The 27,470-nt window shown below is 41.1% G+C and overlaps 1 long non-coding RNA gene and 1 pseudogene across 2 annotated transcripts; one reads left to right on the top strand and one right to left on the bottom strand.

Moving 5' to 3' along the window:
* Positions 1 to 16,103: 16,103 nt before the first annotated feature.
* On the top strand, positions 16,104 to 25,523 carry LOC107984554 (uncharacterized). 2 transcript variants are annotated; one of them, XR_001749988.2, is made up of 3 exons: positions 16,104 to 16,139; positions 24,272 to 24,505; positions 25,094 to 25,523. It is a non-coding gene; the product is annotated as an uncharacterized LOC107984554 (long non-coding RNA). The 2 variants fall into 2 exon arrangements; XR_007063803.1 differs by having other exon boundaries at positions 24,272 to 25,523.
* PRELID3BP2 (PRELI domain containing 3B pseudogene 2) lies at positions 20,105 to 20,305 on the bottom strand (annotated as a pseudogene).
* Positions 25,524 to 27,470: the final 1,947 nt, after the last annotated feature.

Raw genomic sequence — 27,470 nt, 5'->3', positions numbered from 1 at the left:
ATGGGAGGATTGCTTGAGCCCAGGAGTTGGAGGCTGCAGTGAGCTAGAATCACACCGTTGCATTCCAGCCTGGGCAGCAGAATATAACCCTATCTCAAAAAAAAAAAAAAAAGAAAAGAAAAATTATTTTCATTGCTACCATCTCACAGAATACCAAATACAGGCACATACCTTGGTTCATCTTCCAGCACCACTTCTCTCTACTTTCCTTGTGATGGGCCCTGTCCTCCTGGCTCATCAATTACTCTGTATCAGGGACTGCATTAGGTACTGGGGACACAGATAAAAAGGGCACAATCCTGGCCCCTAGCAGCTGTCAGCTATATTCCAGGGGTGAAAAGTAACTAGGCAGTTTGAAAACAATGTGATAACTTTTCTCAAGTTCCAAGTTAGGCTGAGGGAATCCTCTTTACCCCCCATAATAGGTCCCTGGGCCTTTTATCATAACTTTTATCACAACATCCATTGGTGCACTCGGCTCATTTGCTTGCTTTTTGGCAGTACCGTGCCTGTGGGTCCAGAGCCCTTTTTCTGAGTTGTAGCTTCACGAGTATCATGGGCCACTGACTGAAGAAAGAGGTTGCCTCACTGGGTGGGCTTGAGCAAAGCCTCAGGCACAGACAACCACTCTAGGGGCGGACCAGTAGGCAGCTGCCTGACTAGCTTGGCTGTCCTCAGGGTGGCAACAAGAAGCACAACTGGAAGCTTCTTTGGGGTTCCCTGGTGCTGGCAATGATGCTGCTTGCTCCTGCAGTGAGTTGCGTGGTTGTTGTTTTTAATACAGTCTGAGAACCTGACCTGGTCATCCCTTTTACAATGACTACTTTACAAATAAGGTCAATCCACCTAGATCCTCTTCACCCCTCTCAGAAATGTTACACTATCGCTTGCTCCTTCTCTCTGTAGCATCTTCAGTCTTCTATGGGGTCTCTCCCATTAGCATTACATACACTTAACTTTTTCATGTTAAAAAAGAAAAAAAAGATTAACTCCACATCTCCTTTCAGCAGGTGCTACTCCTTCACACAGCAGATTTTCTGAAACCATTGTCCATATTTGTTATCTCCATTTCCCTTCCATTACAGGTAGGTTGCAGTTCCTTAGACATGTCGCTTCCTCCTTCCTTCTTGAAATGGTCTCTTCTCCTGTTTCCTAAGATACAAGGGCCCCTGGTTTTCATCCTGCACCTCTTGTCCTGTCTCCTTTGCCTCCTATGCCACCCCGCCTACCCAGTCTTTATGGACTGCAGTCCCCAAAGCTTGTTCTTAGGCTCTCTGTTCTTATTAGCACTCTATCCCTGGGCCCATAATTTCATCTGACATGTACATAACTCCAAATATGAATCTTTAGCTCCAGCATCTCCTCTGTGCCTCAGCCCTGTTGATCTCATTATGTCCTTGACATCTTTCCTTGCATGTCTTCAGGGCACTTCCAATTATGGTTATGTAAAACTAAACTCATAATTACCACCCGCAGTCCCTCACCCACACGGTCACCCCTGCCATGATTCCCTGTTCCTTATCTCAGTGTGCGGTACCATCATCGAGCTCTATTATACAAGCCTTTTTCTAGCTGTCATCCCTAAAAATTCCCTCTGCCTTAACTACTTATCAGTTCACCGCTAAGCCTAGTCATTTCTGCTTGCTAGAAATGCCCTGAAATTTTTTCCTCATCTTCAATTCCATTGCTACCATCTTAATTCCATTCTTCCTTTCTCTCTAGCCTAGCTTAACACATTAATCTTTCAAATGGCTTCCCACATCCATTCCTGCCCCCTTATATCCAATTGCCATACCACAGCCAGAGTGTTCTTCCTGGAGGACAAATCTGGCCATATTGTCCCCTCCATAGCTGAAAGACTGCAATAGCATCCTGTTGCACTTAGGATGGAGACAAGCCCTCCATGCGTCATCATAGTCCTCCCCCTACTTTATTTGCATTCTCTGCACTCCAAGTACACCGGCCTTCTTTAGTTCCTCACAGGACAGGCTTCCTCTCCAGGCACAGAGCCTTTGCATATGCCAGGTACTCTACCTGGAATACTCTTCTTAGCCCATCTTCATCTGGTTAACTCCTATTTAGTCATTAGATCACCTTTCAGTCATTATTTCCTTCCTGACTAGATTGACACCCCTCTTTTATGCATTCAGAGGACCTTAACAAAATCATTTTGTATTTCTTCATGTGATTCTTTGACTATTTCCTCTTTCCCACCTCTAAATTATAAGCTCCATGAAGACCAGACTATCCTGCTTATCACTGTACTTTCACCGTCTAACATAGTGCCTGCCACATGGTAAGTGTTATTACAAGAAACGCTTCAATGCCTAGCACTGAACGCCCAGCCTAGCACACAGCAGGCATTCTGCAAATGTTGCCGAAAAGTGACTGAGCACATGAGCTGGGAATGTTCTGATGCCTCTTCTAATCCTATAGAGGAAACTAGAGGAATTCCCAAAGATGTTCACTCTCTTTTTAAAAAAGACTTCGAGTTTTATTCAAGTGTTCATCACGGGCAAAGCAGAATATGTGGGAGAGCTGACACAGTTCACATAACTAGGTTTCCTCCCACTGGGAGATTTACTTACTGGAAGAGGCATGAAAATAGAGTACACTGAGTGACAATGGTTAATTCCCACAACCCCTCAAGAAGCAACCCAAGTGGATGGTGGGTGACCTCTGGACGCTTCCAAGCTGAGTAATCTAATCTGAAAAACATTATACTATGAACTGGCTGTGCTTTGATGCTTTTACTTCTTCATAACGTTTTCCAAAATTACAAGTACTCTATGTGAGTCATCTGTAGGTGCAGTAGGTCATTTTCTTCCCAGTCTATCTTTGACTGGCAATCCCCAACTGTGATAGCTGTGGATGCTGTGCTACCTCAGGGTGCTCACAGGGTAGAGGTTGCTAAGCACCGGGAATTGTTTTTTGGAGGATGTAGAATCTTTGCCTCTGGAGGATAAAGGGGCTATCTTTTAAATAGGACGATCCTCAGTTCCTTGGAGTTAGGTTAAACATCCACCTGCTGAGGGGAGGAGATTGAGTCCATGAGTTCCCCAGGTCTCCCTCTGCCTTATGATTCCATGATTCTATTAATGTTTGACAGAAGGGCAAGTCTAAATGTGCAATTCCATATAACCCCTGAGTTTTCTCCTGAGGATGAAATTGAATAGAAAATGGAATATATCATAGTGATGGGAATCTGGCTGTGTGCTTTGGAATAGTAACTAGCTGCAGGGTTTCATCACCTTGGAAACAAGCAAAGCCCGACACGGGGATCTCAGAGGGCTTATGCTACTGAATCAAAATTTATCTGGATTTGGCTTCATGGTGGGAGGGGATGCATGTAATATTTTATCTGTGAGTCTGAGAACACTGACAAATGGTGTTCTAAGTGAGTTAAGAAGCCAGTAGTGCATTAACCAAAGAGATCAAGGTGCAGCCACTGGATGTTAGTGAGAAAGGTGGGAATGTGGGGTCAGTTAGCTGTGGGAAGTTTTGGGTTGTTTTATACATGATGCTAAATATCAGGATGATTCCTGGGGGGAAAAATGTCTGCCGAACATCTGCCTGTTTGGTTTACAAGATGCCAAACACTGAGATATTTGAAAACATTCAAATGTCTGGCATTGCAATGACAACTTTCTGGATGAACAATTATATATTTTCTAAAATTCTTTAATTTGGTGCTACATAAATAATTTTTGAAAAGTTGTTTTAGTAAATGGAACTGGGATTTACATTGCATATGCAGAGGGTTTTTTTTTTAAATAAACATTTTCTGTTACTATTATAGGATTTTTCCTAAGAGAAAGATTGTAGAAACTTGAACTTGACGTCTCAGCCACAGCCCACACAGGCGGCCATGCTCCCTCCCGGGAGCACTTCCTCTCCTTGGCATCCATGCCATCACTCTTGCTGGTTTATCTCCCACCTCTCTGGATACTGCTTCTCTGATTCCTTTGCTAGGTCGTAGAGATCAATCTGGCTTCTAGTATTGGAGCATTGGAATCTCTATTTCAGTCCATTACACCCCCCTTTGTCTTCTCATTCTCCACTCATTTCCTTGGAGATCCTGTGCATTCTCATGAGTATAAGCACTATTAATATGCAGATGACTTCTAAATTTATGTCTTTGGCCCATTTCCCCCAGCTGAGCTTCAACCCTAAGTCTAATTCTCTACATAGCATTTTTACTTGGATGGCTCAGAGATATACCAGATTCAGCATGTCCAAAACAGTAACTATGGTTTTCCTCCCCAGATATGCTGCTTTTCCTCCATGTTTCTGAGTAAATGATCCACCTGATATCAGGGAGCCGTATTTGATGCCTCCATCTCTTCCATCTTTTTTTTGAGATGGGGTCTTGCTGTGTCACCCACGGTGTTGTGCAGTGGCGTGATCTTGGCTCACTGCAACCTCCACCTCTCAGGTTCAAGCGATTCTCCTGCCTCAGTCTCCCCAGTAACTGGAATTACAGGCACCCACCAACATACCTGGCTAAATTTTGTATTTTTGGTAGATACCCGGTTTTGTTGTGTTGGCCAGGTTGGTCTTGAACTTCTTACCTCAGGTGATCTGCCCGCCTCGACCTCCCAAAGTGCTGGGATTACAGGCGTGAGCCACCACACCCAGCCTCTTCCACCTTTCATATCAGCCATCACAAATACACCTCATAAATGTCTCCCGAATTGTCCAATTCTTTTCATCTCCTGTGTCACCTCCTCAGTCCAGGTCAATGTCATTGCAGACCTAGATAAATTGCAGCATGCTACCTGGCCCTCCTGTATCCACTCCTGCCCTCTGACAATCTATTTTCTATACCAGGTAGAGAACTCGTACAGAAATGCAAACCAGATCTTGTTTCTACTCTGCTTAAGGCCTTTCTTTGGTCTCCTGACACCTCTAGAAGTAGCAGGAAGAATGGGCTTGCAGGGCAATACTATAAATTATGTCTTAGAATTGTTGAGCTTCAGGTAGACATTAAGTTAAAGTCCACTGGGCAGTTGCAGAGAGAGGTTATCATAGGATATATAAATGCAGTAGTTGTAGTAACTAAGAACCAACTAGAGATGTTGCAAAGGTGAGCTAGGAGGTCCCCAAGTCATAGCCTCATATTGGCAATCATACCTGGGTGTAGTCACAGTATTGCAGAGACTTTAGAGAATAGGACACTCCTGCTTTCTAGAGCTTCTGAAATGAACCAGTCTTTTAGGGTCCGCTCAAAACAGACAAAACTCACAAAAGATTGATGTACATGTCAGTTTATTAATTCATAGTAAGAAATACAACTCCCAAAGAAAACAGTGGCTCAATACATTTGCTGCCTAAAGATACACGGACTCCAAGCTAGGGAAGTGAGAGAAATGATTCTTATTGAATTGTGGGTCCAGCATATTTATGTACATGTGCTAGCCCCTGTCAAGACTGTCTTAAACTTGTTTGTGCTTAGCAAAATTTAAGATTGAGAAAAAAACCGTAAAGCATCCCGTCTCTACTAAAAATACAAAAATTAGCTGGGTGCGGTGGTGGGCGCCTGTAATCCCGGCTACTTGGGAGGCTGAGGCAGGACAATCACTTGAAACTGGGAGTGGGAGTTTGCAGTGAGCCGAAATTGTGCCATTGCACTCCAGCCTGGGCGACAGTCAGACTCCATCTCAAAAAACAAAAAACAAAAAACAGCAACAAGAAAAAGTCAACACAAAAAACAAAACAAAACTTTAAAGCGGTTTTTACAAATATACGATACTTTTTTTTCTACAATGGTTTTTGCCCCTTATAAAAACAGAACAAAGCAGCAAACAGTTAACAAAAGAAAAACACAAGGGTACGGAAATATTTGGTATTTAGAAATATTTGGTGCAAAATATATCATAAGTCAAAAGGTAACTTTGCACTCTCAACAGGAGCCAGCTGGAAGAATGTTTTAATTTACTAAACTTTTTGCCTTGAAGCTGACAGAGCAGTTTAGCAAATAGTCATTTGATTCATCTCTTCTGCTTAGGTCTTAGGAAAAAATCACTAAAGAAGGATAAGCACCATGCTTCTGATATAATTGCCTTGGGGGAAAAGAATCAGTGAGACACAAGCTCTGCTCTGATGAGCAGAAGTTGGGAGAGGCACAATAAAAGTTCTAAGCTCACAACTGCTGAGATTTGTGGTATTCCTTCTGTCCTCATCAGCATAATACTGAGAATTTGACTCTGAGACAGGCACTATTCTTCACCCTTTAAATATATTAACTCTTTGCATTCTTCAAGTCCTGTGAGTTAGACGGTATATTTACCCAATTTGCAGATAGGAAAATGGAGGTACAACGAGGCAAGTAACTTGCTAAAGCATACAGTCAAGAAAGTAGCTGACCTGGGATTTCAACCTAGGTGATTTGATTCCTGAGTGCACCATCTCAAATACATGATCTCTTCCTTTTGCTCTCCCTGGAAATGATGACAGCATGCCCCAAGTCAATGATCCATAGTCCCGGAGGAGGTAATAACACAATGTCTGTGGTAAACCACAGTTGCTTGAGGAAACGTATGTCCGCACCCATGGAGGGGATCTACCCAAGGACCTGGGTTGGGGAATGGGCTGGGACATCGGTGCTTTTTCTACTTTTTTCTTCCTTACTCACATAATCCCCCCAAATGCCGCCCTTTCTTGAGTGCCCTGGCTCCAGACTGCTTACTTCAGGCAAACCATGGGGGAACACGAGCTCTCTGGTCAGTCCACAGGGACTCCCTCTCCTCTGGTCTGTGCATTAGACACTTGGACAGAGTTGCACTGTCTTGTGGCTCTTTCCCTAGCTACCTGCTGACCACAATCTTCCATGCAAATCTTTCTTCAAAAAGACCAAAATGCAATTGCTCAGATTTCAGCTTCCTTAATTAAATATACCACTCTAATTGTGCCTCTCCAAGAGGAAGCTACTAGCAAACTAGCTTGACTGGCTTTGGGCTAACACAAATTGCATGTTTTGTATTTATGCACACTCTCTTTGTTTCCTTTTATATATGATTAACATTATTTACCATGTCATTGGTTTTCTGTTGAACACTCAGCAGGTGGCATTATTTATAAGTTACAGTGGTGATGGATGGTATGGGGTAAAGGTGGAAATGGTCTCACTTCTCCTTGTGGATCAGCACAGACAGGGTGTTATAAGCATCTAAGTGGGAGCCAGTGCCAGAGGGAGAGAGAGAAAAAAGTCAAAACAGACCTTGGGTACATCATCATTTAAGAAGTCAGCGAGAGTCAGAAAGGCTTGCTGGAAAAGTGAAACATGATGTCATCACAATGGCTGGGGAAGCTGTGGCTCCTAGTTAGAGAGGCTGAGAATCGGGTAACGGAGAGGTTTATTGATTCCAGTCAAGGTGGTTGCAGATCCAAATCAGATCTGAGAATTAGTCAATGTGAACCTGAATCCAGGTATACAGGCTGAAAGGCAACTCCACTGGGCAGAAGTGCACGCGGCGTCCTTATTGGGATAATGTCTATAGAAGGAAGCTCAAGTCTTCTTGCTCAAGGTCATTGGCAAAACTGCCCCAAATATCTATAACTAGTTAATAAGCAACTTGGATTCTTAGAGGAATCACTCTGGCTTTCTTGGGAGAGTCAGCCCTGTTGTCTTGGGCTAGTAACTGCAGCCTGCTGCAGTTAGAACAGTAATCCCCATTTGCTTGAGATAATAAAATTGTTTACTTGGTTAATGTCTTTAACCCTAGGAATTAAATAAATGATGAAGTAGATCAAATTTATTGTATTAATGTCTCATGGTAAGTTCACAAGTGATCTGTGTATATTTGAAATGTAAAGTTTAAAAGAATTCAGCTTACTGTTTGATCAAGCATATCCACCTCAGGGCCTTGGCACTTGGTACTCTTCTGCCCGAAATCTCTTCCACCTGATAGCCTTGTGCCTTGCTTTATTAAATTCTTTAAGTCTTTACTCAGTTATCAACTTACCAAGGAAACTTTCCCGGATCAGCTTTTAAAAATTATACCTCACCCTTCCCTGCTCTGCTTTATTTTCTTCATAGCACTAGCCACCATCTGACATGCTATGTATTTTAATGATTTGCTCCCACTGTGCACCAGGTGCTGTTCTAGGTGCTGGAGATAGAGTAATAAATAAAACAGACAACGTTTTTGCAGACAAATGCCTCTGTGAGCTGCTTGAGGTAGCAGCAAATTTCCAAGGGTGTGTCCATGTAACCAAAGATGAAAACTGAGGGGTCTCAGACACAATAGAAATGAAGAGGAAAAAATTGTCTAAAAGGATTTTATCTTAGTCTGCTTCCTTTTGCTATAACTGAGTACTTGAGACTGGGAATTTTACAAAGAAAAGAATTGATTTCTTATAGTTCTGGAGGCTGGGATGTCCAAGATTTAGGGGCTGTATCTGGTGAGGGCCTTCTTGCTGGTGGGGACTCTCTGCAGAGTGTTGAGGTGGCGTAGGGCATCACGTGGTGAGGGGGCTCATGAGAGTTGGCCAAACTGGCTTTTATAACAGGCCCACTCTTGTGATAACTAACCCAATCCCTCGGTAATCCATTAATTCATGAGTAGATTAGCTCATTCATGAGGACAGAATCTTTAAGACCCAAACACCTCCCAAATGTTCCACCTCTCAAAACTACTGCATTGGGAACCAAGTTTTCAGCCAACACGTGAACTTTTGGGAAATACATTCAAACCATACAAGATTTCGAGTATCTTAACAAAAATTACTCTATTAAATATTAAGTCATTATTGAGTTGGGATGTGATTTCTTAAACTTAAAAATATGTGCAAATGGTAAAAATTTCAAACAGTATAAAGCCTAATACAATGAAAAACAAGGTGTTTTCTACCCCAAATTTCTTGTCCCATTTACCTAATTCTCTCCAAGTTTTTTCTGCTTCCTTCCAGACATTTTCCATCCATATACTCACATATATGAATGTATTATCTTTCACCAACTTGCAATATTACCAACAGACTATGCTTTGACTTTATTTTTTTCACTTAATATATTTTAGAGATGTTCCTATATGAACACATACACATCTACCTCCTTTTTTGAAAAAGCTTTTCCTTTTATATTTTATTGCATGGAGTATCATGTTTTAAACTAGTAAGTTACTGATGAATTCAAACGATGCCTTGATTAGCATCCTTACAATACCTCTTTGTTAACTTGTCCATGTGTAAATACATTTGTAAGATAAATTGTTAATAGAAATGCTTAAAAGAGTTTAAAGTATTTCTTCCTCAAACTGTAGTTTGAATAAATGGAAAACTTGGTTTTACTCCTAGCATTCCCACTGTGTTAGACTAACACAAGGCTTGATACTTCATCTCTTGCTGCCCAACTCCCTATTCTAATAATGAAGATACTTAATAGCTATGCAAATAATACACTGGAGATGTAATTTATTAAAGTGGCAGCAGAAAGTACCACTTATGCACTGGGAGATTGACTTAATAATTCAATTCCTTAAGCCTTTATTAAAGGCTCAACTCATGAGCCTGATTCTTTCTTTCTTTTTTTTTTTTGAGATGGAGTTTCGCTTTTGTCGCCCAGGCTGGAGTGCAATGGCACGATCTCTACTCACTGCAACCTCTACCTCCCAGGTTCAAGCAATTCTCCTGCCTCAGCCTCCCGAGTAGCTGGGATTACAGGTGCCTGCCACCACACCTGGCTAATTCTTTTGTATTTTTAGTAGAGACCGGGTTTCACCATGTTGGCCAGGCTGGTTTCGAACTCCTGACCTCAGGTGATCCCTGCGTCTCAGCCTCCCAAAGTGCTGGGATCACAGGCGTGAGCCACCGCGCCCTGCTGGCCTGATTAAATTTTTTGTGCACATCTCAGCCCCATATGTGGTCCTCAGCCACAACAGAAAAGAGTACGGAAGTTGCCTGTTATGCCTCACCATCTAAAAGTGCAGCTGTGCTGAGCCTGCTGGCCAAGCCTTTGGTAGCCTAGCTATGGCCAGCAGGAGAGCTTTTCATGGACACACACTATGTGAAGAGAGGAAAATCCCTCTTTTCTCGGGAATCATGGGGCCATTTGGCCCACTCCAGAACATTCAGGCTTGCTCCACCTCTGCCTATCACTGTATGTCAAGGACGCTGCAGGGATGGGACAGCCCATGTGGAAGCACTTACAGAGAACACTAGAACACGGGAAACCAACCTGCAAGTCCTAGGCTCATGAGCAGCTCTTGGAACACCACAGACCTCCAGCCTTAAAGCAGCCTTAGTGAAAAAACTGGCAACAAAGCCAATATGTTTTCTTTTTTGTTTCGTTTTGCAGTAAGGCAGAAATTCAATAATAGATCAAGAAGTGAAGCTGCAATTTCCAGTGGTACGCTGGTAAACCAATTCTCTGGGAAAAAAATAAAGCCCCGAATGCCAATTTTCGTGCTGTAAATACAACATGACCAGTTGGGGAGAGCTGCACACAACTGGCTCTCACATGCCAGTCTGGGCTATCTCTAGTGCACCACTGCACGTTACTTTTATACAGACCTGAAAGAACTGTTCATCTCTCCAAACACAGCCCTTGCTTGCAAATTTTCAATGGGGTCCAGTTGATATTGGGAGGTTAGACATTTTTCTATAACTAATAACAAAGTATATTGGTATTCTAGTTACTATTGCTGCAGCAAACTCCAAGACATAATGGCCCCAAAAAACTATCTTATGCTTATGGATTTTGTGGGTCAGGAATTTGGACAGTGGATGTCTAAGGATGGCTTATTTCTGCTACATGTTAGAGACTCCAACCAGGACACTCAAAGGCTGGGATTACTTGCTAACTGGGGGACTGGGATCATCTAGAAGGTTTCCTCACTCACATGTCTGGTATTGATACTGGCTTTCATCTGTAACCACAGCTGAGGCTATTGTCCAGCACACCTAAACATCGCCTCTGCATATAGCGGCTTGAACATTCTCCTTGGGTGGTAGCTAGGTTTCAAGAGAAAGCATCACTAGAAGACCAGGTGGAGGCTGTGTTGCCTTTTATGATGTAGCCTTGTTTCTTGTTTGTTTCTTTGTTCAAGGGAAATTGTAAGACATAGTATCATTTCTGCTAAAGTTATAAACTTGCCTAGATTCAATATTGGAATATAGACCGTACCAATCAACAGGAGGAATGTCAAAGTCATATTTTAAAGAAGATGATGTGGGCTGGGAGGCATGTTTGTGGCCATCTCAGGAAAATATAATGTCCCAGAATTGGCATTTAGGGAACTCTTCAGAGAAGTAGACTGGGAATTGTTTGTCATCCACCTCTTCCTCAAACTTTTTGTGTTAGTCTGTTTTGCATTGCTATAAAGAAATACCTGAGGCTGGGTAATTTGTAAAGAAAAGAGGTGTATTTTGCTCATGGTTTTGCAGGCTGTACAAGAAGCATGGCACATGGTGAGAGAGGGAGCTAAAGAGAGATGGGGAGGGAGGCTTTTTTTTTTTTTTGAGATGGAGTCTTGCTCTTGTTGCCCAGGCTGGAGTGCAGTGGCATAATCTTGGCTCACTGCAACCTCCACCTTCCAGGTTCAAGTGATTCTCCTGCCTCAGCCTCCTGAGTAGCTGGGATTACAGGCATCTGCCACCATGCCCTGCTAATTTTTGTATTTTTAGTAGAGAGGGGGTTTCACCATATTGGCCAGGCTGGTCTCGAACTCCTGACCTCATGATCCACCCACCTCAGCCTCCCAAAGTCCTAGGATTACAGGTGTGAGCCACCACGCCCAGTCTGGAGGCTCTTTTTTTTAACAACCAGCTCTCGCTGTAAGTAATAGAGTGAGAAGTCATTCATTACTGCAGCAAGAAAGGCACCAAGTCATTCATGAGGTATCCACCCCATGACCCAAATGCCTCCTACTAGGCCCCATCTCCAACACTGAGGATCAATTTTCCACATGAGATTTGGAGGGGACAAATATCCAAACTATATCACCTCCCTTGAAGCTTTGATACTTTGGAGAGACCTCTAAGAGCTCTGTTGTAGACTGTATACCTAGATCACCAGAAAACAGCATGAGGAGGACTCTGTTAGCTTAAGAAATCAGAAGAACCATATTCATTTAGTTATTCAACAAAAATTTATCAGGGACCTACAGTGCATCTGGCAGTATGCTAGGTACTTGGGAAAACAGACATAGTTCAGCACTCTTGGAACCTGTTTGACAAATAATCAAAAAAGTCACGAATAAACAAAACGTTGATAGTTTGAACAAATGTTAAAAAGAAAATAAATAGGATATGTGATGGAGAATGATTGGCAGGGTGCCTATGTTAGATGAGGAAGAGTCAGAGATATAGCCTTTCTGAAAAAGTGACACTTAAGATGACAAAAGAAGAAATAAGAAAAGCCACAAGCCCAGCGTCTCAGGAACAGGATTCAGCAAGTCTGAAGCCCCAACGCAGAAAAGTGTAATGCGTCTTCTAGGGGCATAGTGAGAAAGGGGGAACAAAATATGACAAAGAGGGTTGGGCTGGAGACCAAATTGTGGAGCCGTCAGCACAAATATGGCATTTAACATTGCAGGGAAGGAAAAGATGACCCAGAGGAAAGGTGTAGATAGATGAGGCAGAAATGAGAAGACCCAGCACACAGAGGAACAGCCTGACTTTGAAGTCTGGCCAGACTTTAAAGAGGAGGCTGGGAAGGAGGGCAGTGATGGACGAGGAAACAGAAAGTACAACCAGACAAATGCCAAGACAAGAGACTGCTTCTAGAATGTAGGAGCAGCCATCAGCTGAATTCAGCTAGTAGGCTGTGGAAGGTGGTACAGGCACAAACCTATGGGATTGAGAGCATGAGGGTTTTCATTGACGTTGTTCAGAGTCATTTCACCGGAGTGGAAAAGCCAAAAGCCCCATTGGAGTGGGAGATGAAGAGCTGGAGGCAACATTCCTGGTCAAATCTCTTGAACATTTTTGCTGGAAGCAAGTAAAGAGAAATGGAACGTTAACATTTTCTAAAGTGAGTTCTTCAGAATGTGAGCTATATTAGGTATTAAACTGGTTTAATGCAAATGAAGTTTTGAGAAAACTTGGGTTTAAAAAAGTCTTTCCTACCTATCTTTATGCACCTGGATAAGCTAATATTCATTGTGAATTTTCCTCCTTATTTTCATTTAAAATTTTCAAGTTGTGTCTCGCAGTACCAATGGAACAAACTTTAGGAAGCACTGAGCTCATCTATATTTTTTGTCCTCAAGTTTTATAAAGGGAAGATACAGGAAAAGCTTTCTAAATGTGCAGTTCTGTATTCTTTGCAAAACTGTAGTGAGCACATTGTTAGTTGAGTGACTCAGTGTGCCTGATATCAAGAACTCTGTGACACATTTCCCCTACAAATTAATACCAGGAAAAATAAATTGCTTCTCAGAATGAACTGGGACATTTAAAAATATTGATCAATGAATCAAGAATGAATCACAACTTTCTAAAACTAAAAATGACCTTAAATGTAATCTGGTGAATCCCATCATTTTTACAGAGGAGAGAAACAGGCCCAGCGATGTTAAAGCAGCTGCCTATGCCCTGGATTCTTTAGCAGTAAGCTCCCTCTTCCCAGCCAGTCCTTGGGTCACCAGCCTGTAGGGAAACCATAGAGGACATTTGTTTCACCACACTGAGCTGCCAGGAGTCTTGGTAGTAGATCTTGTCCTCAACTACAGTAATCAATTTGTCCTAGTTGCCTGATAACCTTTACTACAGTCTCTTAAAATTATTGTTTTTCTGGGTTTTTATTAATAAGCATGCTTTACCTCTTTACTTGGGTTTTAGTTAAGAGCTCCGTATATTTTCAGAAGGCATAATCATAAACTATATTAATTTTAAATAAATAAGTGCATAAAGGAATTTACAAATTAGTCCTGCATGTTTGGAAGTTGGAAAGTATTTTCCTTATAAATCATGTTAAACACGGTAGTTAGTTTCTACCACGAGAGTCTTTAACCCATAATAGAACTGGAGTTCATTTGTACCTCTCTCTAAGGTTGGCCCATGTGTTCTTATCACCATCTGGGGGTGGGAGGGTAAACCTTTGCTCCTACCTGTTAAAGGTGGAGGCAGAGGTGAGAGCCAAGAACCTCTGTCTGAGTCACAGAGACAGAAAGTCAAAGATAGAAGGATAGAGAGGAAGAGACAGAGAGACAAGTCAGACAGAGAGAGAGAGAGAGACAGAAAGTCAAAGAGAGAAGGAAAGAGAGAAAGAGAGAGAGATAAAAGTAGTAAAGAAAAAACAGTGTACCCTATTCCTTTAAAAGCCAGGGTAAATTTAAAACCTGTAATTGATAATTGAAGGTCTTCTCCGTGACCCTGTAACACTCCAATACCACCTTGTTGTCAGTGTAAACAAGGGCACAGCCCGAAAGCACTGAGGCCACTGACAACCCATAGCCTTCCTATCAAAAATCCTTAACCCAGCAGGTTCCTAACAGGGGATCTAAATCTTAATTAATTACCATACGAAGGTCCGACCAGATCTAGGAGGAACTCCCTTCAGGACAGGACGATAGATGGTTCCTCCTGGGCAATTAAGGGAAAAAGACAAAATGGGTATTCAGTAAGTGATAAGGAAACTCTTGTAGAAGCAGAGTTAGGAAAATTGCCTAATAATTGGTCTGCTCAAGAGCTGTTTGCACTCAGCTAAACCTTAAAGTACTTACAGAATCAGGAAGGAGCCATTTATACCAATTCTAAGTTAATATGGACTAAACGAGGTCTTATTAATAGCAAAGAATAATGGAAATCCCAAACTTACAAGGTTTTCAACAAAAGTAAAGTTTGCTAAAAGTTAACAGTGTAACATGTATTGTCCTAACTTCTAATCTTACGGAAATCAGACTCTATCAGTTCCCCTCAAAGCTCAAGTCCAGTCAGCGCAGGGCCATAAAACTAATACTCCTACTTATAGGGTTAGGAATGGCCACTGCTACAGGAACCGGAATACCAGATTTATCTACTTCATTATCCTACTACCACACACTGTCAAAGGATTTCTCAGACAGTTTGCAAGAAATAACAAAATCTATCCTTACTCTACAGTCCCAAATAGACTCTTTGGCAGCAGTGACTCTCCAAAACCGCCGAGGCGTAGACCTCCTCACTGCTGAGAAAGGAGGACTTTGCACCTTCTTAGGGGAAGAGTTTTGTTTTTACACTAACCAGTCAGGGATAGTATGAGACACTACCCGGCGTTTACAGAAAAAAGCTTCTGAAATCAGACAATGCCCTTCAAACTCTTATACCAACCTCTGGAGTTGGGCGACATGCCTTTTCCCCTTTCTAGGCCCCGTGACAGCCATCTTGCTATTACTCACCTTCAGGCCCTGTATTTTTAACCTCCTTGTCAAATTTGCTTCCTCCAGGATCAAGGCCATCAAGCTACAGATGGTCTTACAAATGGAACCCCAAATGAGCTCAACTCTCAACTTCTACCAAGGACCCCTGGATCGAACCACTGGCCCTCTGGCTGGCCTGGAGAGTTTCCCTCTGGAGGACACTACCACTGCAGGGCCCCTTCTTCGCCCCTATCCAGCAGGAAGTAGCTAGAGTGGTCATTGCTCAATTCCCAACAGCAGCTGGGGTGTCCTGTTTAGAGGGGGGATTGAAAGGTGAAGCCAACTGGACTTCCTGGGTAGAGTGGGGACTTGGAGAACTTTTCTGTCTTACAACAGGACTGTAAGATACACCAATCAGCGTCTGTAAAAACGTACCAATCAGCACTCTGTGGCTAGCTAGAGGTTTGTAAAATGCACCAATCAGCACTCTGTAGCTAGCTAGAGGTTTGTAAAATGGACCAATCAGAGCTCTGTAAAATGGACCAATGGGCACTCTGTAAAATGGACCAATCAGCACTCTGTAAAATGGACCAATCAGCAGGACATGGGCAGGGACAAATCAGGGAATAAAAGCTGGCCACCCCAGCCAGCAGGGGCAACCTGCTGCCGTTCCTTTCTGTGTGTGGAAGCTTTGTTCTTTTGCTCTTCTCCATAAATCTTGCTGCTGCTCACTCTTTGGGTCTGCACCACATTTAAGAGCTGTGACACTCACCGTGAAGGTCTGCAGCTTCATTGTTGAAGTCAGTGAGACTACGAACCCACTGGAGGGAACCAACTCCAGACACAACAGTGCACTGGGTAAGTAACATTCCTATGCTCCTGCTGACCTTCCTTCACTTGTTGCTTCTTCCATCACGTGGGAGTAAAGTGGCTCTTGCAGGCTGCCTGAGACTTGTCCACTCCATCGCACGCTGTCTACCATGTTTTCTGCCTGAAACGTTCCTTTGTTTCCAGAACTTACGGTTTGGGCGTCTGTTCTGTTTGCTTTCTTCTCTACACTCTCTCAGTCTGCCACTAACTATCTCCATATGCCCGAGGGCCTCAGAGAGCAAGAGTAGAGGTGGGCATAGGTCTCTACTTGAGAGAGAGAGAGAAAAAATATTCTTCTCTTCAACCAATGGTCACCAGGGTGCAGGCAAGTGGCGGAAGGATGGTGCCCAAAATCATTTTGCTCCTGTGAACCCCCCAAGAAATCTGCCCCTACTTCTCTTGTGGGAGAGTCAGCTGTTTGGATGTTGGGGGGAAACAAAGAAACTTTGTATTGAGGTATCATGATATTCCGAATCCTTAGCTCTTACAGTACCACAGATATCATTTTAAAGATGATGGCGAAACTGAAGTTCAGAGAAGTTAAATAATATACACAAGTTAAGACGTTTTAAAAAGACTTTGAACAATCCATTTTTTGTTTGTTTGTTTGTTTTTTGTTTTTTTGAGACTCAGTTTTGCTCTTGTTGCCCAGGCTGGAGTGCAATGGTGCAATCTTGGCTCACTGCAACCTCCGCCTCCTGGGTTCAAGTGATTCTCCTGCCTCAGCCTCCACAGTAGCTGGGATTACAGGCATGCGCCACCACGCCTGGCTAATTTTTGTGTATATATATATTTTTTAGTAGAGATGGGGTTTCTCCATGTTGGTCAGGCCGGTCTCAAACTCCCAACCTCAGGTGATCCGCCTGCCTCAGCCTCCCAAACTGCTGGGATTATAGGCGTGAGCCACCACACCCAGCACAATCCATTTGTATAGTGAAATAGAATGTACATTCACTATACAAATGTGTATACAGAAAAGTGTAAACAGAAATGTAACAGCTCATTGTCTAAGTGTGAGTACTTACCAGGTCAAAGCATAAGCATTCACCTCCCCAGAAAGTCTACCATGTTCCCCAATGGTAACCACCCTCCTGACTTTTAGAATAATCACTTTCTTGCTTTTCTTTATATTTTTTTACGCCTATGCATAAAGTTTGCTGTTGCCTGTTTTTTAGAGCTTTAAGAAAATCACGTCATATAGTATGTATTTTATGTTTGACTTCTTGTATTCAACGTTATGTTTGTGCAATATAAAATTGCATGAATAGATCAAAATTCTTTAAAACCGTGCATATTGAGGATTTGGGGGTTGACCCCATTTTTTAGCTGCTTCTAATAGTGCTACTCTGAACATTCTTTTACATATCTATTGGTATGCACGTTACTCTTGGACATATAACATTTGGATATGTGTGTGTGTGTGTGTGTGTGTGTATGTATGCATGTATGTTTGTATCAGGATATATACCTTTCTGGCTGTGATATGGGTATTTTCAACTTTAGTAGCTAACCTGAAACTATTTTTGAAAGTGGCTGTCCAGGCTACATTCCCACTAGCAATGTATGAAAGATCCTGTTGTTTCACATCTTTGCCAACACTTGTTATTGTCAGTCTTTTACATTTTATGTGTTCTGGTGCTTATATAGTAATATTTTGGTGTTGTTTTAATTTGCATTAATTTGCATTAATTAATTTGTGAGGGATCTAGGTTACGTGTGCCTTATGAGACTCTAATGCCTGATTTGCATTTACCTGATTATTAATAAGATTGTACACCTTTACATATACATATTTATTTAATATTTGCATTTCCCATATTGTGAAGTACCTGTTTAAGTCATTTTTCCTTCTTCTGTTGGGTTGTTTTTTTCTCACTGCTTTGTGGGAGTTCTTTCTGTAGCCTGAAAATAAGCCCTATGTCAATTATTTTTATTGTAAATTTCTTCTCCTATTCTATAGCTTCCTTTTTCATTCTCTTCATGGTGTCTTCTGTGAACTGAAGCTTGTAATTTCAATGTACTCCAATTTACCCATTTTTTCTTGACATGTCCAAGATCATGGAAAAATTATTTAGTATTATCTACTAGAATTCTATAGTTTAATTTTCATATTTAGATTTACAATTGATTTTTGTATATGTTTGTGAAGTGGGGACAAGTTAATTTTTTTCCCATATGGATAGCCAACTATTTCTGAATGATTTACTAAAGAGGCCTTTTTCCTCAATTTTTATAGACTGTTATTATACCAATAATTGTGATTGAACAAGAGCATATTTCTTTAACTTGAAAAAAACCTCATAGTCACTGAAACACATTTATCTAAAGTTAGGCATTATCTAAAATTTGGAGAATGTAAAGCAAATCTCAGTATTTCTATGATTCATTCTTTTGTAAAGGGAATGAGCAAATCTTTGAATTACATGGTAGCTATTCCAAAAAACCAAAAGATAGTTTATGATATAGGCATCAAGAGCTGTCAGATATAAATATAAGTTATTTAAAGGCAAGAAGTAGTCATAGGTACTATTTTGAAGGGGTACAGCAATAAGAAATGGTTATTAAAAACTTTGAGCTTTTTTGATAAATAAGCGACTTTTGCTAAGGTGAGTTACAATGGTGATGCCAAAAGAAAATATACTCAAAGATTTCTCTTTTTCTGACCTATTGAGAAGTTTACTTTAGAAAATTAAATATAATCTTAATACACCTTTATATATCCATGTCTCCAAATACACACATATAAAAATGTAAACTAAACTTAAAGCTTTCAACTTTGGCTTAACTAGAGTTAACTTTATCAGCATATTAAATAAAAACTGTAATATACATGTTACATACATATATATGTATGTGTTTATTGATTGACTGCCTCTCAGCTCTGCTTTATGATACTGTAGCTGGACCCTGTGCACATTTCTACTTTGCCAGATGATAGGATGCTAAGCTTTGTCAGTGGAGGACACTGGTAGGACATTGTACAAGCCAGGGCCTTCTCTTCTTGTTTCCAGTGCTTTCTTCTCTTCTTGCTCCTGTGGTGCTCACTGGCATGCGGGACACCCAGGCGTTTTCACACCTTAGCAAGTTTCAGCAGCATCCCTGAGGGCAACTTCCCAGTGACTTTAGCAACATCCACACAAGGGCTCCCCAGTAAGTTTCACCAGTGCCCCAGCAGCTTCCTGGGGAGTCTCAGAGGCAGCTTTATTATTAAGTCTCTCTCCTCTCATTGTACTTATGAAGTTTTATTTATTAAATACTTTACAGTTAATTACCATCATTATTCTCTTCAATGTTTAAATTCTCTCAAATTTCAGCCAGTGGAAGCCTCTTCAAGCTGCCTCCTATGTCCGTTTGACTTGCTCCCATTAGTGTTTAAGTGCTTCATTGCTTTCCCGCACAGCAAGATGTCCAAATGCAATTGATTTTTGTACATTGGCCTTGTTTTCATCAACAAGATCACTTATGTTAAGCTCACTTACTAATTCTGATAATTTGTCTGTAGAGTATTTGGGACTTTCTATACATACAGTCATAGCATTCTCAAATAATGATAGTTTTCATTCTTCCCATCTAATCTGTATAACTTATAATCCCCCCACTCATTTTTATTCTTATTTTTGGCTTTTCTCTACCTGCTGAAACCTCCAGCAAAATACAGTAAAGAAGTGCTACTGGCAGACATCCTCATGTTGTACTTTGTTTCAAAGCATAAGCTTCTAGCACTTCAGTGTTTCAGGTATGATGTTTATAGATACTTTTCATCAGATGAGGAAGATTCTCTTCTACTCCTAGTTCACTAAGAGTTTTTGTAATAACAGATGTTGAATTTATCAAAACCTTTTTCTGGCTCTCTTGAGATAATCATATAGTTTTTCTCCCTTATGCTATTTATGTGGTGCATTCCATCGTCTAATGTCGAATCAACCTTTTGTTCTTGGAATAAACCATATTTGAGAATTCGTAATGGAAGGCAGTTCCCACTCTCTGTAGAAAAGTCTATGGCTCTACAACTTTCCAGAGGGACCTGTATTTCTGTTCAGTACGTCAAATCCAACCATTCTTGGGTTCCTAGGGTTTGGATGTTTCTGCACTGCAGCTGTTGTAACAGTGTCCCATGGGTTGTCAAAGATATGCTCTGAAGTCCAGATCTTCATGGTGCTGGTGGCATGCAGGTAGTGACAGGGGACATGAGGCAAAGAAGTGACACCTGCTCCCACCCACCCCTACTGACTCCCTGTATACTACTTAATCATTTTTTTCTCCATGTTGCATTCTGTATAATTTCTTCTGATTTATCCTTCAGTTTACTAATTCTCTTCAATCACATAGAATCTGCTGTTTAACCCATCCATGTAATTTTAAATTTTATTGTGTTTTTATTTCTATGAAATTCCATTTTAAAATCTGCTTTGTCATTTTTTATCTTTTTCTGTTTCTGCAGAGTTCCACAAGTTTTATCTTTTATGGATTCAAACATAGTGAGCATGATTATTTTATAGACTGATAATTCCTATGTAAGCCTTGTGAATCTACTTCTGTTACCTGTTGCTTCTGCTGGTTCTTTCTCATGGAGTCTAGCTTCCTACCTGCCTAGTTATCTTTGACTGGATATTAGATGTTGTATTTGGAAAAAAAAAACGCATAGGGGTTATTTGAAGCCTAAGATTAAGGAAAACTTCATTCAGATAGGATTTCTAATTGTTTCTGCCAGGCATGGAGATGCTACCAGTTTGGGATGACCTTAAAACAAATTCAAGGCTTGAGATTCACTAGATCAGGGGTCCCCAACCCCCAGGCCACAAACCTACCTAGATAGGCCTGTGGCCTATTAGGAACTGGGCCGCACAGCAGAAGATGAGCGGCGGGCAAGGGAGCTTCATCGGTATTTACAGCCACTCCCCATCACTCGCATTACCACCTGAGCTCTGCCTCCTGTCAGATCAGGGCAGCATTAGATTCTCATAGGAGTGCAAACCTCGTTGTGAACAGCACATGTGAGGGATCTAGGTTACATGCTCCTTATGAGAATCGAATGCCTGATGATCTGTCACTGTCTCCCATCACCCCCAGACGGGACTGTCTAGTTGCAGGAAAACAAGCTCAGGGCTCCCATTGGTTCTACATTATGGTGAGTTGTATAATTATTCCATTATATATTACAATGTAATAATAATAGAAATAAAGTACAAAATAAATGTAATGCACTTGAATCATCCTGAAACCATCCCCCTACTCCAGTCTGTGGAAAAGTTGTCTTCCACGAAGCCAGTTGCTAGTGCCAAGAAGGTTGGGGACCACTACACTGGATGATCCAGGAATCAGGTTTAGGTGTAATTTTATGTGACATCATCTATTCCTGAACTAGCCTCACCTTTTAGACCCTTTAAGGTCCCAGTCTTTTAAGTTCTCAAAACTAGAAATTGTTTTATTGTTGTATCCCCATAATGTTTAGGTCCCCAAGAAGACTGTTTTGGGATGGACACATGTCCTCAGAGCAAAGACAGATATTTTCTCCCCCTTGGACTATAATTTTTCTTCATTTTTATATTTCCTTATCATTTTGCCAGCTCTTACATGTTTTAAAATATTTTGTCCAGAGTTTTTAATTGCTAAGTTTTGTTTGGCTTTAATAATTTAGCCCATTGTTACTGGAATTAAGGAGAGCTCTTAGATATATTTTGAAGGCAAACCGGAGACTTTCTGATGGACTGGAAGGAGCATGTGAAAGAAAGGAGTCAGGAGACTGTAAGATCTTTGACCTGTGCAACTAAGAGTGAGGGGAGCAGACAGGGAAGCAGGCTATGGGAAGGTTCAGGAATTTACTTTGGGGCATGTTAAGAGGCCTACTGTAGTTTGATTTAAAAGTAATGGCAAAAACCGCAGTTACTTTTGCACCAACCTAATAGCTATGCCAGTTAAGAAGATGAGTAGGTAGCTGGGTATATAAGCTTGGAGTTCAGGGAGGAGGTTAAATCTAGAGGTTAAAACCCAAGGATGATTGCTGAAGACCTGTTCTTGAAGTGGCAGTCGTTGTTTGAAATGTATTAAGATCACTTCTGCAAATTTAGATGGACAAGACTATACTAGTGACAAGGTTTTAAAAACTGAGGAAACAACGCAAGATTTTCTGAGGATATCTGAGTATAGCATTTTTGGTAATTGTTTCTTATTTATTGCAAATTATGTTTGATAACTAGAAAACAGATTAAATAAGAGACAGGGACATTTCCCAATTCTGTGCCCACTGACCACTCAATTTTATTTCTATACATACATCAATTTCTAGAATATAAAGCCATGCATTTTCTAGTCTTACAGTCAGAAGAAAGGAGTTGGTTACTCAGGCAGAATGCCCAATCTCTGCTAAGAGGCCCTTTGGAAATAAAATGTATTCTTCCAGGGGTAAGTTGAATGTGGTCCTGAATGAAGGCGAGAGAGAAAAGTCGCTGACCTTTCATTTTCCTTGACATTGTTGATTTGATTTTTGCATCTATTTTTGTAATAATTCAGTAGGGTACAGGAATCATTTTCCTTTTCATCACTTTTGTGTTTGTTTAAAATCCAGCATTCCATCCTACTCCCTTTCACTCTGTATCTTTATTTGTCTTATCTTTTTGTCCACACAGATACTATGTCCAAATAACAGATGAATACAAGTTATCAGATAAAAAGCTGTTTTTAATGTGAGCCCTTCAGAAAGAAGGTTTATGGTCAATGCTGATTCTTACTATAGCCGAAATACATTTAGCGCTTACTTTGGGCAGGCTGTGTGCTAAGCAGTGTGCATACAATCTTTCATATAACCCTCATCATGAGCCTTGGAGGCAGAAGCTTCTATTATTCCCATTTTACAAAAGAGGCACAGAGGAGCTAAGTAACTTGTTAACAGCTGGTAAGAGGCAGCCAGACTTCAGAGCTCTTGCATCTAGCCTCTATACTGTTAGGCCTGATAGATAGATACCATCTTCTAATGAGTTAATATAATTTTCATACATGGAGGACCAGTGATGCAAAAATCTAGGTCAACATGAAGTATAGAGAGTGCTCATGGACCTCGATTTCAAGTGGATTTATTTGCAAACTCTCTTTTTTTGAGCTCCTCCCCTGTTGCTCCACATTCTTTGCTGTTTGGTCTCATCTTCTACCAATATGTTTTTTTTTCTTTTTTTTTGCATTCCTGGAATCTTGCTGCATATCAGACACTAATTTTGGTTTTGATAGGTTCTCTGGCTTTTTTGGGGTAGGAGCTGGGTGTAGAGTGAATTAGCCCTGCATAAGGGATGGGAGAACTTGAGTGAAATGTTGAGTAGGGGTGGAGGGGCTATCAGAGAGTGGAGTCTGTGGGCTAAGTGCCAGATGTGTGGAGAGAAAACACCTTCATAACACTGTCCTATGTGTGAAGTAACTTTTCTCTATGATTCCACAAGTCTTCAGTAATGACTTCAGAAATGATGGCATTCTTAGGTCATTTCATTTCCTGTGGAAACTGCTGAAAGGCTGAGTTCATGTTCTGGTTGATTCAGCCTGAATTAGGGTCAACAGGCATGAATGTGGGAATATGAGTGTCATAGGTAAAATGTTTTTGATAGAACAGTGGGAAATTGGTGTTCAGGGTGTTGGAGGTCGATAATTCCCCATGATGACCTGGCCTTGGGGTGATCATGGGAGAGGTGACTGAAAGGGAGGGGCAGTGAAAGCTTTAGGAACTGAGAAATTGAAGAAACTAGGCAGAATTCATTCCTAACAACCCTCATTCTCTGATAATCAGTGCTTACTCATTACTGCTGTCATTAGAACAAGCCAACTGTTGCTTTTGTGCTTGCTGTCTACTGCATCTGTGTGTTAAATCAAGTTTAGCCTAAAGCTGACTCCTTACCTACTTTAAATTCGGCCTAGAGGTTTTTCTGTACATCGTGAACTATAACAAGTGGAGGTGTAAATAGACCGTAGCCTACGCTTGTGGCTGTCACCGAGTTTTGCCCAATCAAATGTAGCCAACTGTTTGAACCATGTTCAAATGTTCAAAATAAAGCAAATGTTAACCTGTAACCAATCCACTGTTACTGTTTCTGTACCTTACTTCCGTTTTCTGTACGTCACTTCCCTTTTTTTCTCCATAGATCTTGCCGCTGTGGCTGTCCTGGAGTTTCCGAGCCTACTCTGGCTTGGGAGGCCGCCCGAGTTGCACATCTTTCATTGCTTGATGAAACTCCTTTAAATTTAATTCGGCTGAAGTTTTTCTTTTATCATGTGTAATGTCAAAATATCCAGTTGGAAAGGGGAAAAAACGACGATCCTCAAGAAGGCGGTTCGGGCAACACCAAGCCTCCAGCAGTGGGAAGATCAATGTCAAGGTGATTGATGAATTTCCCTTTTTTATTCGGATGTTTTGAAGTCAGATAGGAACTGACAGAAAGTGAGATTGGTGGGCAATTTTCTGGAAATGAAATCTAGAAGTTGGACTAGATCATGGAGTCTAGCTTGAGAGCCTCCGGAAAATAGGCCTCCATGTAATCTAAAAGTAAAGCTGGCCCATACAGAGATGAAAGGCTGGCAAGAGCCTGGGAAGTCTTTGAAAGGGAGGATTTTTAAATTTAGGTAGCAGGAAGGGAATGATGATGTCACAGCTAAGATCAGACAGCCCTCGAAGTAGAACCTACAGGTGAAATATGGAAGGGGAGATGGTGTTCAGGAGGCTTCAGTGGCCTATGGGGAACAGGAAAGGAATGAGACATAAAGGGGAGTTTTTAAAAGTTTGAAGTCTTATTTTTCACCTGTGGTCTAAGACAGAATTTAAAATCTGTTTGGAATAAAGTACAGATGAAGAACAAATCAAATTTGTCTACAATAGAATGTTCGTAATTAAGGAGAAGTCAGAATTTTGTATAATAGGAATAGGAATGGAGGGAAAGGGGACCAGTTCTGTTGACCATGCTTTGCAGATAAGGGCGTCTCGGTCACCAATTTGCAAAAAGTCACCCGGGGAACTTGTTGAATGAGGATTTTGATTCAATATGTCTGGGATGGAGCCAGAGAGTCTGCATTTCTAATTATCTCCCAGATGACATCAACGCTGCTTTGGGTGGCAAGGCTCTACAGCAGGGATTTCCACAACTGAATTCACGAAAGTCCCTTAGTAACTCTGATATGCAGCAGGATTTTGGAACTGGAGCTATTGAAAAGCTCATTGAAGATTAATTAATGCAAGAACCAGAGGAATCAGGACAGTATTGAAGCTTCTTCAAGCAAAACGTTTTATTTCCAGCAGCATGTGGAAAAACATATTGTAGATGTCTGTATAAAATATCTCAAACAGCCATCAGAAATTTGGGATGTAATGTTTTTAATAAACCATAGAATGCCTGTTTTAAAGATGTTGAAGTCCTGGAGTAACTAAAAAGGATGGATGAAATGAGTAAATCTGTAGACACAGTGACACTTTTGTCGCTTCTTGAATCATACTTTAAATTATTTGAGTAATAAATGTGACCAGTGACTTCTAGATATTTAAGGAGCTACAATCAGAGTGTGTGTGTGTGTGTGTGTGTGTGTGTGTGTGTGTTAGAGAAACCCTACTTTCACAGGGAATCCAGGGCCAAGAAAGGCTGACATTTCTTGTAATATATTCAGGTGGTGAAAATATGACAGCGTTCAGGCACCCACCCACTTCCAGTTTCACCAGACTCTCCTTCTCGTTGTTGTAGACTCCCTTACTCTTCAGGACTCAACAGATTTCATCTCTGCTGCATCCAGTTTGCTCCTTTTAGTAGAGTGTAATCAGATGCAAATACAAATCACAGCTATTGTCAGAATTCAAATGGGTTCTAATGAGAATTAATATTTTCCATTTGTGAAAGTACTGATTCAGAGCACATAATGAGGCAAAAATTCAAAATTAGGCAGAAGCCACTCATTTCTCAAGCAGAAAGAACTATATTTTATTCATCTTACAGATATTAGAATTTTGCAATCCAGATATCAGAGCTTTATGCTATGAACGATTTCTAATTCCTCAACCAAATCTTACTCTCCATAATAACAACTGAACATATGAATATGTGGCCGAGTTAATTGAACGCTAATGTCTGCACTTTAAAGTTTTATTGTCAGATCTTGTTTCATTAACACAATTATGCAAGAAAGCGTTATATTAAACGTACAACTGTGATATGCTCTACATATTAGTCTGAATTCTTTTGGTTGCAAGTGACAAACTGAACTCACATTGATTTAAAGGAAAAGAGAAAGAAACTTACTGATTTATGTAACTACAAAATTTAGGTATACTTAAGGTACATTTGGACCTAAAGAATTAATTTTTCAATCTCTTTATCTGCTTCTGTTTCTTTTAACTGTTGGTCCATTTAATTGCTATAGTAGATAGCTTTTTCTAATCAAGAAAAGTGTTTCAAAGCAGCTTAAACTTATTGACTTTAGGACTCAAGATCCCAGAAGAAGAAAAAGCCCAGACAGAAAATTCCTTGGGAAGACTGTGCCTCAGTCAGGATTACGGGGCCATCTCAGTAAACCATTATTATGGGCATAGGGCTGGAGCCCTGTCATTGGCCTATCTTGGGTCACATACCCATCTCTGGAACTAATGTGTGGTCAGCATCATCCTCACATTGACCACCTTGAATGAAAGTAGAATGTTTCCCCGAAAAAAAGGATGATATGCAGACGGATGGTGTATTTCCACTCCATTATGGCCTAGCTCGAATGGTAGGTAAGATAGATGCAACTCATGGAAATGCTGCCAAGGACAAGAAGTATCTGGAAGGGGTTCAGGGAAGTTTAATGGAAAAGGCACAGAAGCCATAAAAGTGTCTTAAATTGACATGTCCATGTATGTGTGTATAGTAAAGTTTATATCTGTTGATAGTGAACTTCAAACCTTCAAACAGAACTTTGTACTTTCTTTTTTTTTTGAGACAGAGTCTCGCTCTGTCGCCCAGGCTCTGGAGTGCAGTGGCGCAAACTCAGCTCACTGCAAGCTCCGCCTCCCAGGTTCACGCCATTCTCCTGCCTCAGCCTCCCGAGTAGCTGGGACTACAGATGCCCACCACCACGCCCGGCTAATTTTTTTGTATTTTTAGTAGAGATGGGGTTTCACTGTGTTAGCCGGGATAGTCTTGATCTCCTGACTTCGTGATCCACCTGCCTCGGCCTCCCAAAGTGCTGGGATTACAGGCATGAGCCACCGTGTCCGGCCTGAACTTTGTACTTTCTAAAAAGTAATTCACTACATTTTCTCACTCAGAAAATTCTTGGTTTGTGTGTATGTTTTTTTTTTTTTTTGAGATGAAATCTCGCTGTGTC

This window comes from Homo sapiens, chromosome 13 (assembly GCF_000001405.40).
Source record: "Homo sapiens chromosome 13, GRCh38.p14 Primary Assembly".
NCBI classification, from domain to species: domain Eukaryota; kingdom Metazoa; phylum Chordata; class Mammalia; order Primates; family Hominidae; genus Homo; species Homo sapiens.
The sequence above is the reverse complement of the archived record's forward strand: the minus strand, read 5'-3'. Positions and strand labels throughout refer to the sequence as shown.